Below are 18,204 nucleotides of genomic sequence, written 5' to 3'. Positions count from 1 at the left end.
CTGACCGGGACGTTAGTATGTACCCAAGATATTTCCAAAGAGAGGACATTTGTGCTTTTTCAGGTGCAATAATTAAACCTTTTAGCTGTATTCTTTATGACAGAGGTATGTCGATTTAAAAGCATTAGTTCTGTTGGGGCTGCTAGTAAAATATCATCCATAAAATGAATAACCTTACAATCAGGAAATTCTTTTCTACTGGGGAGCAAAGCTTGATTTACATGATACTGACACATGGTAGGACTGTTTAGCATTCCTTGAGGAAGCACTTTCCAATGAAATCGACAAGCTGGCCTTTCATTATTGTAAACGCAAATTTTTTTCTGTCCTGTTCTGCTAGGGGAATCATATAAAAACAGTCTTTTAAGTCAATAACAATTATAGGCCAATTGTGAGGAATCACCACGGGGGAAGGGAGCCCCTGCTGAAGGGGTTTCATAGGTTGCAAATTGGCATTAATAGCATGTAAGTCATGCAAAAGTCTCCATTTACCAGACTTTTTGGGAATGACAAAAATGGGCGAATTCCAAGGACTATTTGATGGTTCTACATGTCCAGCTTTTAATTGCTCTTTATCTAATTCATGGGCTTTCTGTAATTTCTCTCCCTTCAAAGGCAACTGTTCTACCCAAATCAGATCTTGAAAGAGCCACGTCAGGGGTAGGAGAGAGATAACGGTGGCCATTATCAGAAAGAGGTTTTTTAAATTTTTAAATTTTACTCAAATCTTAGCATAGAATTACAATCTGGGATGTCGCTTGTACATAAGGAGCACACAAAATTTTGCCACAGGCCGGAGAGCTGGAGAGCTGAGCAGGCAGGCCCCAGGGCGGCAGCCACTTTGCACCTGCTTAGGCGCTGTGCTTTGTCTGTGCTGCTTCTTTCTGTACTGCTCCTTCCTCCACCCCGCTGCCTGGCGGCTGCTGCCTGCTGCACAAACCTTCCTGCATGTGCCTCCTGCCCATCCCCAGCAGGCTAGCTTCTGCATGCTGGGCCTGGCTCCTCATTGCGTTGCTACTATGCAGGTCGAGTTCCTGGGAGCATCTGTTGGCTCCAGGTCTGCAAGCCTCCCTGCTGCTGAGCCTTTCCTTCTGCCCACCGCTCGCATGGTCGCGCAGCTCTGGTCTTTAATGTTTTTTCGTATTTTTAAATAAGCGTTAAAAGAAATGGGTTTATACATCTGATTGCCTTGTTGATCTTGCATTACTGGGCAGGCAAAGAGCTCCCCTTTTAATGCTGCTTGCTTAAGACAGGGTCTCTTCGCTGTAGCATATCCCCTGTCCTTTTTCCTATCTACTGGAGGAGGGGGCTTAGGCAAAACCTCCGTTTCCCCTTTTTTATTTTGGCCTGGTGATATCGGGGCTGAGGGAAGAGGAGGTGGTAAAGCAGGTGATGGTTCTTCCTCCTTCTCCTTTTTAGGCTCTTCTGTGTATAATGGAGCCAGGGCTGCCCTAACTAAGGCCCATAGCATTAAAGATGATACTGGGACCTTGCCCTTGCATGCAATGTTTAAGATTTCTCCCCACTTGTTCCAGAGCTTTACGTCTAGCATGCCTTCTTCAGGGAACCATGGGTTTTGGGATACAACAGTTTGCATTAGGTCCCTTAATTGAGCCTGCCAAACATAGGCTCCACTAGCTTTAAGCAGCTGTTTCAATACTTCTATATACTGTTTCTGTTAAGCTGATAACTGTTGTCCTGTGATGAAACCCTAGCCTGAATAATCCCCTGTGAACTTGGAAATCCTGAGCAGGCACCAATGACTTACTGACTGTGCAGTTCCTTTTTCACCTTCATTTTCGGGGGGTCCATCGTGATCCTTTTGTAGCGTTCCTCATGCAGGGCGCCACTTGTGGGGGTCTGTCCTACAGACCTCAGCTGCATGACGGATGAGACAGGTACTCAGACACTGATACTCAGTGAAAGAGCAGGCCAGGGGGCGGCCGGCACCAGCAGCCGAAGAGAGTTTTGCAGCTCCTCCAAGCTGGCAATGCTTGTATTTAGTTAGTACAGATTTAATTGACAAAGGCTTTGAGTCAACCACTGTGGGTAATTAACCTGGCTGCCCCCACCCTGGAGAGGGCCATCCTGCCCACAAATGATCAAAGGTTGGTCTTAGGACCACATGAGTAAACAAGCTATTTAGATAAAATACTTTACATTCCTTTGTATCTGCGTCCCAAGCTACTAACTCAAGGTAAGGATTAGGCTGCTTTTAGCCATAACCCTATCCTGAAACTTTTGCAAAACCTTCCGGCCTTCCAAGAAGGTTTGTGTGTATATCCTATAACTTCATCTTAAAATTTTTCCCACGAGCCTGACTGAACTCCCACAAAAGTCCTAGATGGCATCTTCTTCTAATAGAAGGTTGTTTTGTCTACATTGAAAATCTGTTGTTTAGTGTATCCAGCTTCATCGATGATCCCAGCTAGGTCTCCTGGATAACTACTGCAGCTTCTCTATCATCACTTTCTGCTTCACCTGGCACTTCTATGTTACAGAACGGTTTCGTACCTTAAACTTCATGAACCAACCTCAGCTAGCTTCCAATGTCTCTTTTGCAACTTTTTCACCTCTCTCAGCCTTCACAGAGTATAAGAGGGTAAGGGCCTCGCTCTGAGTTAGACTTTGGCTTACAGGAATATTGTGGTTTTCACGCACATCCGTATGAAAAGACCACCAAACAGGCTTTGTGTGAGCAATAAAAGCTTTTAATCACCTGGATGCAGGCAGGCTGAGTCCAAAAAGAGAGTCAGCAAAGGGAGATAGGGGTGGGGCCATTTTATAAGATTTGGGTAGGTAAAGGAAAATTACAGTCAAAGGGGGATTGTTCCCTGGCGGGCAGGAGTGGGGGTCACAAGGTGCTCAGTGGGGGTGATTTTGAGCCAGAATGAGCCAGGAAAAGGACTTTCACAAGGTAATGCCATCACTTAAGGCAAGGACCGGCCATTTTCACTTCTTTTGTGGTGTAATGTCATCAGTTAAGGCAAGGACCGGCCATTTTCACTTCTTTTGCGGTGGAATGTCATCAGTTAAGGCAAGGACCAGCCATTGACACTTCCTTTGTGGTGGAATGTCATCAGTTAAGGCGGGGCAGGACATTTTCACTTCTTTTGTGATTCTTCAGTTACTTCAGGCCATCTGGGCGTATACCTGCAAGTCACAGGGGATGCGATGGCTTGGCTTGGGCTCAGAGGCCTGACAGTGGTTAGATCTATCTAGACCGCTCAAACTTTCTCATGTCAGCAAGAAGGCTGTTTTGCTTTCTTAACATTTGTGTATTCACTGGAGTGGCACTTTTAATTTTCTTCAAGAACTTTTCCTTTGTATTCACAACTTGGCAAACTGTTTGGCTTATCTTGGCTTTCTACATGCCTTTCTCACTGAGGTTCATCATTAAGAGCTTTTGATTTAAACTGAGAGATGCAGTGGGGCATGGTAGCTCATGCCAGTAATCCCAGGACTTTGGGAGGCCGAGGCGGGCAGATCACCTGAGGTCAGGAGTTCAAGACCAGCCTGTCCAACATGGTAAAACCCCATCTCTACTAAAAATACAAAAATTAGCTGGATGTAGTGTTGGGTGCCTGTAATCCCAGCTACTCAGGAGATTGAGGCAGGAGACTTGCTTGAACCTGGGAGGCAGAGGTTGCAGTGAGCCAAGATTGCACCACTGCAGTCCAGCCTGGGCGACAGAGTGAGACTCCATCTCAAAGATGAACAACAAACAACCCACAAAACTGAGAGATGTACCACTCTTCCTTTAACTTGAAACTTAGAGACCAATGGTAGGTTTATCAACTGTCCTGATTTCAATGTTGTTGTCTTAGGAAATAGGCGGCCCAAGGAGAGAGAGACAGGGGAACAGCTGGTCTACAGAGCAGTCAGAACACATGCAACATTTATGGATTAAGTTCTCCAACTTAGACGGGTGCAGGTTGTGCTGTTGCCATAGTAACATCAAAGATAACTGATCACAGATCACCATAACAGATATAGTACTAATGAAAATGTTTGAAATATTGTGAGAATTACCAAAATGTGGCATGGAAACATGAAGTGAGCACATGCTGTTGGACTAATGGAGCCAATAGACTTGTTTGAGGCAGAGTTGCCACAGATCTTCAATTTGTAAAAAATGCAATAAGGCACAGTGCACGAACACAAGGTATGCCTGTATGTTCCTCACCTCGCGTCAGGTGCTCCCCTAGAATTCCTGGCTGCAGGGAGTCCTGTGGGAAGACGGAGAACACCACCGCAGGCTTTCCACACAGGGGTCTGGATTTGTCTGTGAAATTCAGGAGCTCCTAAAAACACCACGAAGGAAATGAAAAGTACCGTGCTGACAAAGCAAACAGAAGACTAACCAGCGTGTGAAGCCGAAAGAAAAGAGCACAGCGGTCTTCAACCCACAGGGCTCTGGAGGCGGGATGCTGAAATAGGAGAAGCCAGGAAGGAAAATGTGAAAACCATGTTTTTAGAAAAAGTCACATTTATACTTTTCAAACGAATCCTCTTAAATGAACTATTAGCCTGAAGTTGAAGGTGGGTTCAATAGGTTTATTGGTCACAAGAATCTGGCATCTCTGGGGAGGACTGTTGTTCAAATTGTGCATTTTAGCATAATTAGAACAAACAGGAATAGCCCTATTTAAACTTCATCAGTGTGTATTTTAATCTTGGTCTGTCTTTATTGTGAAAGAATTAAAAGGTTTCTATGAAAACAGGCCATCTCTTGGGGCACAGGTTGATAGGGTTAGATGAAAACAGGCCATCTCTTGGGGTACAGGAGCACAGGGGTGGTATGATGCTGGTGATCAAGTCAGATAGTGACCCTGTAGCTTAGCAACCTCCCCAGACCTTCTCCTGTAACTTGGACAGGGAGAACAAACTGACCAGCCAGCCCAAGATCTGCTTGTTATCTGGAATCACTGATGCATCTAATCTCGGAACTAGAAATTATATCAGAGAATAACCAGCATAGTATTTTCCAAGGTGTGTGTTATGAAATGCTGTTTCAGTGAGATCGTTATGGTCATTACCTGAGAAAGGGAGGCTGCACTGCCTAAGACAGAGACCCTATGGGTTTAATTTAAATGGGTTTCTTCGTCATGGAATTTCTCAGAGCCTGTGTATGCTAATGTGAAGCCAGCCCTGGTGCTAAATGAGTGGTGTCAGCTATAAGTATTCTGGGACTTGGGAGGAGGAAAATCTCTGCAGACCAACAAGTGAGGGTCACAGAGAGAAGATGGAATTTGAGCTGCACCTTAAATGATGAGTGAGCGGGGTGAGCTCACCTGTGCAGGCATGCTGAAGAAAGAAAGAGATCCTGCTTATTAGCTGGGTGTGGTGGTGTGTGCCTATAATCTTAGCTACTTGAGAAGTTGAGGCAGGAGGATCTCTTGAGCCCAGGAGGTCAAGGCTTCAGGAAGCCATGATTACACCACTGCACACCAGCCTGGGTGACAGAGCAAGACTCTGTCTCAAATACATATATGTATGTGTGTGTGTGTGTGTGTGTGTGTGTGTGTGTATAAATATATATATAAAAATATATATAAATATATATAAATAAATATATATAAATATATAAATATATATAAATATATAAATATATATAAATATATAAATATATATAAATATATAAATATATATAAATATATAAATATATAAATATATATAAATATATAAATATATATAAATATATAAATATAAATATATATAAATATATATAAATATAAATATATATAAATATATATAAATATAAATATATATAAATATATATAAAACATCGATTTCCATAAAAGATGGATGAAGAAATTGTGGCATGTCCATACAATTGCAAACTACTTACCAATGAAAAAAGACAAGGTGTTGATGGATGAATCTCAAATAAGTTATGTTGAATAGAGTGGGAAAAAAAGAAAAGTATTCTAAGTAGAAGGAACAGAGTGAACAAAGATACAGAGTCAGAAAGAAGCATGGGGTGTTGGAAGATCTGTGAGCAGCTTCTTGCAGGAGCAAAGCATCCCAGTTGTAAAGCCTTAGAACATAGAACTGGAAAAGGCAAGAATAAGCTTGGGACCAATGCAGATGCCCAGGGTAGGATGTGGAGTCAGACCTACAGGCCAAGGGGGAACTACCGAAGACCTGTAATCAGAGCCAGGACCTGACAGCACTGGAACAAAGCTAGAGAAAGTGCCCAGGTGAGCAGTGGGGAAAGCGGGGAGCGGGCTGATGGCCATGATTAAGGAGGGAGTGGCAGGGCTGAATTATGAGGGTGTGAAGGTTAATTTAATGAGTCAACTTGGCTGGGCTCCGGTGCCCAGTTGTTTGGTCAATCATGAGTCTAGATGTTGTTGGGGAGGTATTTTCTAGATGTGATTCACATTGACATCAGTAGGTTTTGAGTAAAGTAGGCTCTGCTCCATATTGTGTGTAGGCTTCATCCAATCAATTGAAGTGGAGTTTCCCAAACAAGAGTGGGGTTTCCCAAAGAAGAAGGAATTCTCCTCAAGACTGCAACATATAGAAACCCTGCCTTAGTTTCCACCCTGCCTGCTCTGCCCTGCAGATTTTGAACTTACAGCCCCCACAATCATATGTGCCAATTCCTTAAGATAAATCTCATAAATCTCTCTTTCTCTGCATGGATCTGCTTATATGCACTTTTTTTCAATAAAAATTACACTGAATATGCCTGCTTCTCCTTCCTCCACCTCTTCTACCTCTGCCATTCCTGAGGCAGGAATGCCAACCCATCCTCTTCCTCCTCCTCCTGAGCTTATTCAATGTGAAGACAATGAGGATGAAGATCTTTATGATGATCCACTTCCACTTAATGAATAGTAAATATATTTTCCCTTATGATTTTCTTAATACCATTCTCTTTTCTCTAGCTTACTTTATTATAAGCTAGAGAAATATCTAATACACAGTACATGCAAAATATGTGTTAATTGACTATTCTGGTCAACAGTAGGCTATTAGTAGTTAAGTTTCTGGGGATCCCAAAGCTATACACAGATTTTTGACTGTATAAGGATCAGTGCCTCTAACCCTCACATCGTTCAAGGATCCACTGTACATATGTATTCATATCCTGTTGGTTCTGCTTCTCTGGAGAACCCTGACTAATACAGATGATGACTATGAGATCTGGAAGTAACATGACATGGAAAAGACCTGGCAAGAGCTGCATCATAGTGACTGATGGGCTGTAAGAACTCAGCCAGAGGGAGTAGGCGGCAGCACTTTCCGCCTCTGGTGCTGGGCCAACTGAGAGAAGAGCCATATTGTCAACAGAAACAAAGGATGTCAGGAAGAAGGGGTAGTTCTGAGGTTCAGTGGACAGCTGGAGAAACAGCAAAGAGATTGACTGATATGGATACTTTTAATCTAATAGCTCAAGCACTTGAGTAGTGATAGTTCTTTGCTGAACCTAAAGCTACTGATTTCATCATAGCTGCTATTTCTGACAATAACTATTTCATGGGACGCCGATGAGAGTCACACTCCCTCTGCCTCGCCAAGCCCAGTCATTTCTTTCAGGTCTTCCTGCAGTTGAGGTCATAGCCTGACATTAACAAGGAGAAAGGGTGCTAGTGCTTAAAGCACCTTTGATTTTCTCCTCTTGTCCCTTTTTCTTTCAATTAAAAGAACAAAGGACTGAGGAAGTTTCAAAGACCCAGTGTATGTGGCAGTGGGCAGGAGGAGGTCACTGTTGTATAGTCCATCTGCCATCCCTGCTCAGTGCTGGTACTGAGCTGATATTTTTCTCAGGATTTACGAGTTTTGAAAGATATGTTTTACCTCCTAGGAAAGTATTTCATTGGTAATGCAGGTAACTGGATACCAGAACCAAAATGAAAATGGAGCAAAGTAAAAAGCAATTCAACTTCAAATACAACAGAGAATAATTAATATTCCTTAGGAAACATGAAATGAGGGAAAACAAATGATTAATTCTCTCTGTGTTGATATAGAAGGTTACCTGGGCTGTTTAGAAAGGTCATTTTTGTTTGCATGTGCATCTTAAAACAAATGAGGGGTGGAAGTCTCTTATCTTTTACAAAATATATGGATTAGCAGACTGCATTTTGAATAACAAAATCATGCGTATTTTCTACAATTTTTAAAGGGACAATTTGGCAAGTGTTATTCAAAAGAAGCATAAATAGAAAATCCTCTTTTTTACTCTCCCAAAACCATTTTATTGTCTGTGGCAGTCTCAAATTATATAATTACTTGAAGAAATAAGAGCATCACTTAACCTCTCCTATTTGTGTTTCCTAACATGAGGTTTTCATCAGGAGGTCATTCCCAAGTGAAACTTATTTACTTCTGAAGTTTTCCTGGATTTGTCCCTCCAACCCCTGCTTCCTGAATATGTTCTAAATGGCATGATAGTCTGAGACTTGCTTATATGACATGTCTCAAAATCTCTATCCCGGTCACAGCTTTTTTCATAGATACAGTCCATTCCATTAAAGTTCCTCTTAAAGCCCCCCAAATTCAAATATGATACTTAATAAGCAGCCTGCCCATTGTGGACTTTGGCTTTCAGTAACATACGCACTATACATCTGAAAACAGAAGCTAAATCTAGATTTGCTGTTTTGCCAGCCTTATTCTTTTTTTTGGCTGTTACTAAGCTCTTTGTTTGGCAGTATAACATAGTGGTTGCAGTCAGATAGAACCGAAATTGATTTTTTCCCTACTCCTTAATCGTTATATGACCCAGGGCAAGTTATTTCACATCCCTAAATTCCATTCGCTCATCTCTACAACTGAGCTAATAATACCGACCCCCTGCAATTGTTAGGGGGGCCAAATGGGAGGCTAAAACAGACCTAGTGCCATCACTGCAGCATGGTTACTGCTCAGTAAATTATAGCCATTTGAGTTGATGACTAGGAAACCTTCTTCCTTTCTTAGTGAGTTGTTTAGGTCACTAGATCAGGGGAATGCCAGAGGCACTACTGCTTATTTATTGTCCATGGCAAAGATTTCATAAATCTCCCTAAGTTTGTCCACAAACATATGACCTGGTCAGCAGTACAGCAAGGTGGGCAGCAACGCCTTGGTTACTGTCCCGGTCAAGGGGCATGGACTAGTGGCCGTATCCCTTGAAGGAAGGTCTTGAATGCTATAGAGCTTTATTCTACATCTAAACCTTGCTGCTCAAGGTTATTATCAATGGTAATACCTGGAAGGCAATTGACTAAATGTATAAATGGAATAAATCTGGAAGATAGTGCCTAAAATTTTTTTTTTTTTTTGAGACAAGAGTCTCGCTCTGTCGCCCAGACTGGAGTGCAGTGGCATGATCTCAGCTCACTGCAAGCTTCGCCTCCTGGGTTCACGCCATTCACCTGCCTCAGCCTCCTGAGTAGCTGGGACTACAGGCGCCCGCCACCACACCTAAGTTTTTTTTTTTTTTCTGTATTTTTAGTAGAGATGGGGTTTCACCATGTTGGCCAGGATGTCCTTGATCTCCTGACCTCATGACCCACCTGCCTCAGCCTCCCAAAGTGCTGGGATTACAGGCGTGAGCCACCGCAACCGGCCTAAGACTTTGTATTTTAGAAAGAAGACTTAAAGAGATTTCATGAGTTAAACAGACCTATGATTGCAAAAAGAAACTGAATGGAAGTGTGAAAATAAATGAAGACCACTTACGGGAGAATAAGTAAAGGCAATTGTGTTAGTTAATTTGTGCGTTGCTTTAAAGGACCCAAGACTGGGTAATTTATAAAGAAAAGAGGTTTAATTGGCTCACATTTTGGCAGGCTGTATAGGAAGCGTGGTGCTGGCATCTGCTTCTGGTGAGGTTCTCAGGGAGCTTACAATCCAGGCAGAAGGTGAAGGGGAAGCAGGCACATCAGTGGCAAGAGAGGGAGCAAGGTGGAGGAAGTGCTGCACTCTTTTAAACAATCAGATCTCGCATGAACTGAAAACTCAGTCTTCACCGAGGGGATAGTGCTAAGCCGCTCATGAGGGATCCACCTCCAGGACCCTAACACCTCCCACGAGGCCCCTCCTCCAACACTGGGGATTACATTTCAACATGAGATCTGGAGGGAACAAACACCCAGATTACATCAGCTATATATCCAGAGCTTGCTCTAGCAAGGCAGTCAGCTGCTGTTGCTTGAGTTTGGCAGAGACTCACAGGCAGGGACAGGAATGGGAAAGCTTCATGGCGGAAAAAAGGGAAGGAAGGTTTCAGGTGCGCCCTCATTGGAGGCTGTGGGATGGGGAAGCCGTAGGTGGGCTAACCAGAAGTGAGGAATCCTATGTGATTGGTTATGGGAGCATATTTGGCTTTCTCTAATTAGTCCTAAATTGGAAGCGGGTCATAGGTGGCGGGGGCGGGTAGGCAAAGATGAAGCAAGCTGGCCATCGTTAATCAAGTCCTGCTCATTTGGGACCAGTTGCTGTAAGGGTGGTTGTTTGGCTTTCTGGAATCATTGCTGCAGATAGTTGGTTGGCTTTCTGAGCTAGTTGCTGCAAGTTGTGGGTCAAAGTTCTGTTTTTATATACGATCCAGCTAATTTTCCATTTGTATATTCGGTCTCTCGGGTAAACAAAGACCCCCTCTCACACCTGGCATCCCCGCCTGCATCCCCACAGGCTGGTTTCAGAATCTCTGCTTGGTGTCGGAGGCCTGTATTAAGAGCCAGGATAGGGTGTCACCTGACTGCGGGTTAATTACATGAAATCCCCACAGCTAATTCAGTGCCTCACATTTACTAGATGCTTTAAAAATTTTTATTAAATGAATGCATGAATGCACAAAGTAGAGTGTGTTCAGTAGCCATATAAATCTTAAAGATGTATCATAAAACTGGAATCAAATAATGGAAATTACAGGAGAAAGGATTTACATCAGTGTAAGCAAGAATTTTCTGACCCTAAAGCTGTCCAGTGATGGACAGCCATCCAGCCTCTCTCGAGTTAGCTCCCTGTCACAGGCATGGGCTGGATGGTCCCTTCCCAGGGATTCAGTGGAGGAACAGTTTTAGGGCTGAAAGTGGTCTGGCATGACAAGGCTGTATGTTTGAGGGCAGGAAAGATGGCAAGAGTTAAAGTAGCTGTGGTTTCTTCATCAAAGCTTACACATTGTAAGCTCAATAAATGTGAGCTAACATCATCATCACCATGATTATTATTATTAGTAACCCTCAGCACATGTCAGGGAGGAATGAGGACCCCTCTACTTCCCCACTTAGGGACCACACACCCAAGGACCTGGCCACACACCATATTTTTTGTTTGTTTGTTTGTTTTGTTTTTGTTTTTGTTTTTTGGATACAGAGTCTTACTCTGTCACCCAGGCTGGAGTGCAATGGCACCATCTCAGCTCACTGAACCTCCACCTGCTGGGTTCGAGTGATTCTCCTGCCTCAGCCTCCTGAGTACCTGGGATTACAGGTGTGTGCTACATGCCTGGCTAATTTTTGTATTTTTAGTAGAGATGGGGTTTCACCATGTTGGCCAGGCTGGTCTTGAACTCCTGACATCAAATGATCCACCTGCCTTGGCCTCCCAAAGTGCTGGGATTACAGGCGTGAGCCACTGCGCCTGGCCACACACACACTTTTTATGTTGGGCATAGTGATAGACCAGTGAGCTCCCACAAAATCTGGCCTCCATCAATTTGGTACCATTTCTGACATTGTCTTCAAAATGGTGGAGAATTTACTACTTATGAAAATAATGTAACAAAATACCACTTTAAACCATGGAAGTTTTCAAAATAATATTGAGGTAAAATTCTAATTGGCAAAACTTGTTGCATACATATACAGATTTTGTTATTAAAATTATTAAAAATTATTAAATTTTTATTATTAAAAATGTTTCACTGCTATTCAGGAGGCTGAGGTAAGAGGATCACTTGAACCCGGAAGTTTAAGGCCGCAGTGGGTTTTGATGGCACCATGGCACTCTAGCCTGGGTGACAGAGTGAGACCCCATCTAAATAAATAAATAAATGATACACAAATAAATAAAATGTTTCACTGGATCCCTCTGAGTCTCCATCAGACCTAGGAAATGCATTTATTTTAACAACTATATTAACAAAGATTCACTTAGCTGATTTTATTGCCCTGTTTTTGTTACTTCTTGGCTTTCATATTTTTAATTGGAAAAAATTGGAATGTATGTCTTACAATGACTTGCAGGAATATTACTTTTATGCCCATAAATCATTCTGCATATGTCAAGTGTTGCAGCTCAAGCATCTATTATTGTAATTAGCTGTCACTTCAGTCCTTTATTGTTGAATTCACCAACACCAATTCTGTCATATTTTTAAAAACCTCTTCTGGAGCTTTAATTCCCTCCGCAAACTGTATATGGAAATTTAGCCCCATTGCTTGCCCCGTTTTAACATGGCCTTCTTAACCCCCACCCACCAACTGCTAAATTATTTCTATGTTGTTTAGTCAAAGTTAAATGTACCACATTTGGACTGCAAGAACTGCCTGAAAATACTCATCCACTTCTGAATTGCCTGAGGTGTTAGATACATTTGTTCTAGAACTGGTGGCTCTGAATTCATCCTCAGAAGCCTGTGGGAGAAATCATATTTCATAATAAAGCAAGATTAAGATAACCAAACACACGCATAACATGTTAATAAACTCATAATTTTTAGTAAGAGCTTTGTATTTTTTAGAAATTTTCCATGAAGCCTGATTCATTTAATCTTCACTTGCACCCCTGCGTGAGATGCAGGACAGGCTTCAGAAGCCTCATTTCACAGATCAGGAGACTGTCTCCAAGAGGCTAATTGAAGAATGTCCTGGAATTATTCCATCAGTTAACACCACAGTTAGGACTTGTACTCAAACTTCGGGTTTATGCAACACATTTTTTTTTTTTGCCTGTGCCACACTGTTTCTCGTACTTAATAATTGGCTGAATCAGTGATACAGATGTATAGTAACATCCCACATATACAGCAGTACCCCAGAAATCTAGAGCTTCCATAGCTGAGAGCCTTCTTTAACTGGAATTCAACCAAGAACCAAAAAGTATGCAGAAAGACCTAGCACATCCAAGACGTCTCAAAGCTACTGCCTTTTACTCATCGGAGCAGACTCCTAGGGCCTTATTGAAGATCTTTTTAGTCTTAGACTCACCACAGGTTGAATTAATTTCCAAGCTCATGGCTGATAAGAAGTCACAAGTCAGAGAGAAAAACATGCCCAGACAAGTGAGAGCTGTCCACAAGGCAGGAATAAACACACTGACCATTGAAATCAACGCAGGCATTTTGGAATTCAGGTATTCCTGTACCAACAAGTATAAGCCAGCCCCTCGTGCCTCGCAGCAAGCTCCAGAGGCCCCCGGCCTTCAGCATGACTATGGCTTTCCCTTTAGGAAAAAGGAAAAGTCCATTTACTCACTGCTTCCAATTCAGGACAAAAGAAATGTGCTTAAACATTTTAGAGAATGGTTCATCAAAACGGCCTAAAGGTTTCCTCTGCAGAGCAGTAAACTCTTAGCTCTGGGCAATTTGCATCTCTAAGGCAGCACTCAAGCAGTATTCATAATAGCCAGAATATGGAATCTGCTTAAGTGTCCATCAGTGAAGGACTGGATAAAGAAAATGTGGTGTATTTATACGTGATGAAATACTATTCATCTGTGAAAAAAAAGAATGAAATCATGTCTTTTGCAGCAACATGGATGGAGCCAGAAGCCATTATCTTAAGTGAAACAACTCAGACACAGATAGACAAACACCGCATGTTCTCACTCATAAGTGGGAGGCAAATAATGTGTACACATGGAGGCGGAGTGTGGAATGATGGACAGTGGGGACTTCGAGGGGTGGGAGGTGGATAGTGGGTAGTTGTTTGGTGGGTACATTGCATGTTCCTTCAGTGGATACACTGAAGGCCGTGATTTCACCACAGTGCAATAAATCAGTGTAGCAAAATTGTACTTGTACTGGCTGGGCACCATGGCTCACCCCTGTAATCCCAGACCTTTGGGAGGCCGAGGCAGGCAGATCACTTGAGGCCAGGAGTTCAAGAACAGCCTGGCCAACATTGTGAAACACCATCTCTTCTAAAAATACAAAAATTAGCTGGGCGTGGTGGCGGGCGCCTGTAATCCCAGCTACTCAAGAGGCTGAGGCAGAAGAATCACTTGAACCTGGGAGGCAGAGATTGCAGTGAGCCAAGATTGCGCCACTGCACTCCAGCCTAGGTGACAGAGCAAGATTCTGTCTCAAAAACCCCATAAATATATACAAATTTTAAAAATAATAACATTTAAAAAAATAAAGCAGTGCTGTCTGATAGGAATATGCCCAGGCCATGAATGTGAGCCACATATATAATCTAAAATTTTCCAACCGCCACATAAAATTGCAAAAAGAAACAGGGAAAATTAATTTTCACAATATTTTCTGTAATTTAGTATATCCTGAATACCATTTTAACATATCATCAATACAAAACAATAATGAGGCAGGGCACAGTGGCTCATGCCTATAATCCCAACACTTTGGGAAGCTGAGGCGGGCAGATCACCTGAGATCGGGAGTCCGAGACCAGCCTGACCAACATGGAGAAACCCCGTCTGTACTAAAAATACAAAATTAGCTGGGCGTGGTGGCACATGCCTGTAATCCCAGCTACTCAGGAGGCTGTGGCAGGAGAATCGCTTGAACCCGGGAGGTGGAGGTTGCGGTGAGCTGAGACTGCGCCACTGCACTCCAGCCTGGGCAACGAGTGAAACTCCATCTCAAAATAATAATAATAATGAGATATTTTACTTTTTTTTTTTTTTTTTTTTTTTGCTAAGGACTTTTCAGAATCCAGTGGTAACTTGACACCCACAGCACATCTCAGTTTAGACATGCCAACATTTCAAGGACTCAGTAGTGACCTGTGACTAGTGGCAGTCTTGTTAGCACAGGTCTGGGGAGAGTCCCTCTCTCTCTAATTAGAAAGCAGAATATTTTTTGTTTTGTTCTAATTTAATACACAAACCCAAAGAGCTAAAGTTTTTACTCTGATCAGCAGTTTTTATAGCAAATAAAAAAAAACAATTTCAGTTGGAAGGACTGGTCACTGGGGAGTTGCTTCTACCGCAGAAGTCACGTTGTCTCTGGTTCTGCAAGAGTTTCAGGACTTTGAAAGCTGCAAAAGCATTTCGTGCCATTTAACACACACTACTGATGTAAATTGCTTATTTTTACTTCCAAATTTAAAGACTAGACTCTGCCTTCTTATAAAATGATCCTGATGTTATTCTCAGAAGTCAAACACTTATAATCTTTATCTGCCAAGAGATTTCCGCAGGGAACATCTCTAAAATACACTTGGCCTGCCGCAAACTAGTGTCATTTCCCTGCTACAAGTATCATTTCCCTATTATTTCCATTGGTTCATTTATTCATTCATTCATTCATTCATTCATTCATTCAGCAAGGATTTGTTTAGTCTCTGCTCTGTACCAGGCTCCACTGGCAGCAGTAGGGCTACAGTGAGGCCGAGGGTGTTTTCCTTCAAGAGCTCACATTATACTAAGAACATAAGCAGGTAAAGAGTATATATAGAATACAATTTAATAAGTGTGTAATTACCTGTAATCCCAGCACTTTGGGAGACCGAGGTGGGCAGATCACATGAGGTCAGGAGTTCGAGACCAGCCTGGCCAACATGGCGAAACCCCGTCTTTGCAAAAATACAAAAATTAGCCGGGCATAATGGCAGGTACCTGTAATCCCAGATACTTGGGAGGCTGAGGCGGGAGAATTGCTTGAACCCGAGAGGCGGAGGTTGCAGTGAGCTGAGATCGCATCATTGCATTCCAGCCTGGGGGACAGAGCAAGGCTCCGTCTCAGAAAAAAAAAAAAAAAAAGTGTGCAATTAATTCAGATCAGGGGAAAGTCACAAGTGGTCTCTTAGAGGAGGTGATATCTGAGCTGAAGCTGGAAGGATTCATGGAGAGGAACTGGTTGGAGAAAGGGGAGAAAGGTTTTCCTTTGCACAGAGGTGAAGTGGTTTGTGGTTCAGAGAAAAGGCAGTCAGTCACCTGTGTGGCTGGAACATACAATGCCAACTATGAGTGGAGACAGAAGACAGAGACATTGTGGGGCTTGGGTGTCATGCAGAGAAGCATGGACTTAGCCTTCAAGTTCATGGAAAACCTTTGAAAGGTTTTAGTCAGAAAGGAGACAGCTGTCAGGAAATGGATTGGAAAAGGCTGAGACTGGAATAAGGGAACCATTTAGGAAGTCCTGCAGAAATAGGTCAGGGTGAGGGTGAGTTCTTGAACTAAGTCCAGTGGCAGTAAGGAAGGGGAGGAAGGCAGGGTCCCTCCTGGGCTGGCTGAGCTGCCCCAGGCTGGCTCATTACCTGGCCTCGGCCTGGGTTCCTCGTTGTCCCGTATCCTCTGAAAGAAGCCCAAGACTGAGTCAAGGGGTGAGCATCAGCCCGCATGCCTCCTACTTGAGAGGGGGCATTTACTCAGGAGGCTGAGGTGGGAGGGTCACTTGAGCCCAGGAGTTCGAGTCCAGCCTGGGAAAAGTGTGAGTCCCTGTCTCTAAAAAATAATAATAATACTTGAAGGGGTATACATCATCCCATTTCTGTAAACAAAGAAAGTCCCCAAATATGTAGGAGCACACAGATGTGCGTGTATACAGATGTGGGTGGAAAAGAGTCTGGAAAGATACACACCAAACACAGTGTGTTCACAGTGATCACCTGTGGAAGAGGGAGCAGAGTTAGGGCAAAGGAGGGCTTCCTATTTCTATTCTAGAGGCATCACATTGCTTAAATGTATTTCTTTGTTAGTGTACAGTGTGCACATATATTTAAATATAGCTATATTTGAAGAGTCACTTAATTGTAATCAATATATTGTGAATAGCAGAAGCATTTAGTATATATGTGTGTGTACATGTATATGTACATGTGTATGCATTTATATATGTGTGTATATACATTTTGTGTGTGTGTGTAAGACACCATGATAGAACTATACTTGCAATGAGAAATATTTAGGGCCTGATCATGTAGATAGAGGGCCCATCATCAAATACCTTTCTGATGTCTTGAGCCCCTAAATAGTAAGTGCCACAGTAATGCCGATCCGAGCCTGCACCTGCAGGGTATCGGTTGTAAAATGGAGTTGGGATGATTCCACCTTCCCCACAGGGCACTACTCCCGACCCACCATAATGTACCGACAGCGCGTGAGGGCAAGATTCCACAGGAATTCCTGCATACTTTCACCATGTGTAAACACAGACACTACATTTTCAGTTTTGTTAATGAAAATTCAAAGGTTTTATTTACCTTCTAGCTGTTGTTTTTAAATATGAAAGTCAAATTCATTTTAATTCACTTGCATCTGTCTAGGTAACATTTTTGCCTTTTACCAATCCTCACCCCAAACCAAACCAATATCGACAAAAATAGTTCAGATCATTTTCACAACCTATAGTATCTTATTCTCCACCTCAAAGCCTGCCTGGTTCTCATTTAATTTATTTCCGTCCATCCCCCTTACATAAGACAAATGTTCATGACCCCTCTTCTCTTCAGCCCCTCACCTCGGTCACTTGGATTTCAATCATCTTTGAGTTTACATGAGTTAACTCTTACCTTTGAATCCTTATTTATCCATTTCTAAACTTAAATCCTTGAACAAAGGGTAGGATTTACAAGATGATAACTCTTCCTCCCTTTATTTCACATTCATGATCTCAGAGGCATTTTTCTTGGAGAGAGAGATGAAGGCAGATTTTCCTGAATTCCTGTTACTGCCCTATGGGGTAGAGGTCCCCAGATGCAAGCCTCCCTGAAATGTAGAGAGACACACAGCCATGGCAGTGGCCGAGGAGCTGGCCTTTGATCCTGCTCTCACTCTGAAATTGCCTGCCAGACACTGCATCCAAAACAGATGGAAAATGCCATGTTTAAGGCAGCCTTAAGTGTTTTTATTTTCAAGTTATTTTTAGTCAGTATTGTCAGGCTCTCTGTGTCACTTGGCATTTACATCTAGCCCTAAGAGAAACAGCGAGATTGTTAAAGAGAAGAATGTTTCATCAGTTAAAATATAAGCATCAAAGTAGAAGAAACAAAAGAGCAGGTAGGTAAGGTCTTGGGACATTTTCTGAGGGAAAGAGATGCATTTTGGGGAGCTCTGCTCTCTTTACCCTCTGAGACA

At 42.6% G+C, this 18,204-nt stretch overlaps 1 protein-coding gene across 14 annotated transcripts in view, besides 3 other annotated features; it reads left to right on the top strand.

Annotated features, from left to right (window-relative positions):
- PLD5 (phospholipase D family member 5) overlaps positions 1-18,204 on the top strand; it is a 447,561-nt gene that overhangs the window by 317,025 nt on the left and 112,332 nt on the right. The window lies entirely within an intron of this gene.
- Positions 2,017-2,551: an enhancer, noted in NCBI's record as "OCT4-NANOG-H3K27ac-H3K4me1 hESC enhancer chr1:242374273-242374807 (GRCh37/hg19 assembly coordinates)". NCBI's record gives its function as "activates a minimal SCP1, AML or CMV promoter by ChIP-STARR-seq in naive H9 embryonic stem cells {active_cell/tissue: H9 hESC(naive)}" and the evidence as "EXISTENCE:reporter gene assay evidence [ECO:0000049][PMID:30033119]".
- Positions 2,552-3,085: an enhancer, noted in NCBI's record as "NANOG-H3K27ac-H3K4me1 hESC enhancer chr1:242373739-242374272 (GRCh37/hg19 assembly coordinates)". NCBI's record gives its function as "activates a minimal SCP1, AML or CMV promoter by ChIP-STARR-seq in naive and primed H9 embryonic stem cells {active_cell/tissue: H9 hESC(naive and primed)}" and the evidence as "EXISTENCE:reporter gene assay evidence [ECO:0000049][PMID:30033119]".
- Positions 3,086-3,619: an enhancer, noted in NCBI's record as "NANOG-H3K27ac-H3K4me1 hESC enhancer chr1:242373205-242373738 (GRCh37/hg19 assembly coordinates)". NCBI's record gives its function as "activates a minimal SCP1, AML or CMV promoter by ChIP-STARR-seq in naive H9 embryonic stem cells {active_cell/tissue: H9 hESC(naive)}" and the evidence as "EXISTENCE:reporter gene assay evidence [ECO:0000049][PMID:30033119]".

The sequence above is a fragment of the Homo sapiens genome, chromosome 1, assembly GCF_000001405.40.
Source record: "Homo sapiens chromosome 1, GRCh38.p14 Primary Assembly".
Lineage (NCBI taxonomy): Eukaryota > Metazoa > Chordata > Mammalia > Primates > Hominidae > Homo > Homo sapiens.
This window is presented reverse-complemented; position numbering and strand designations above follow the sequence as displayed.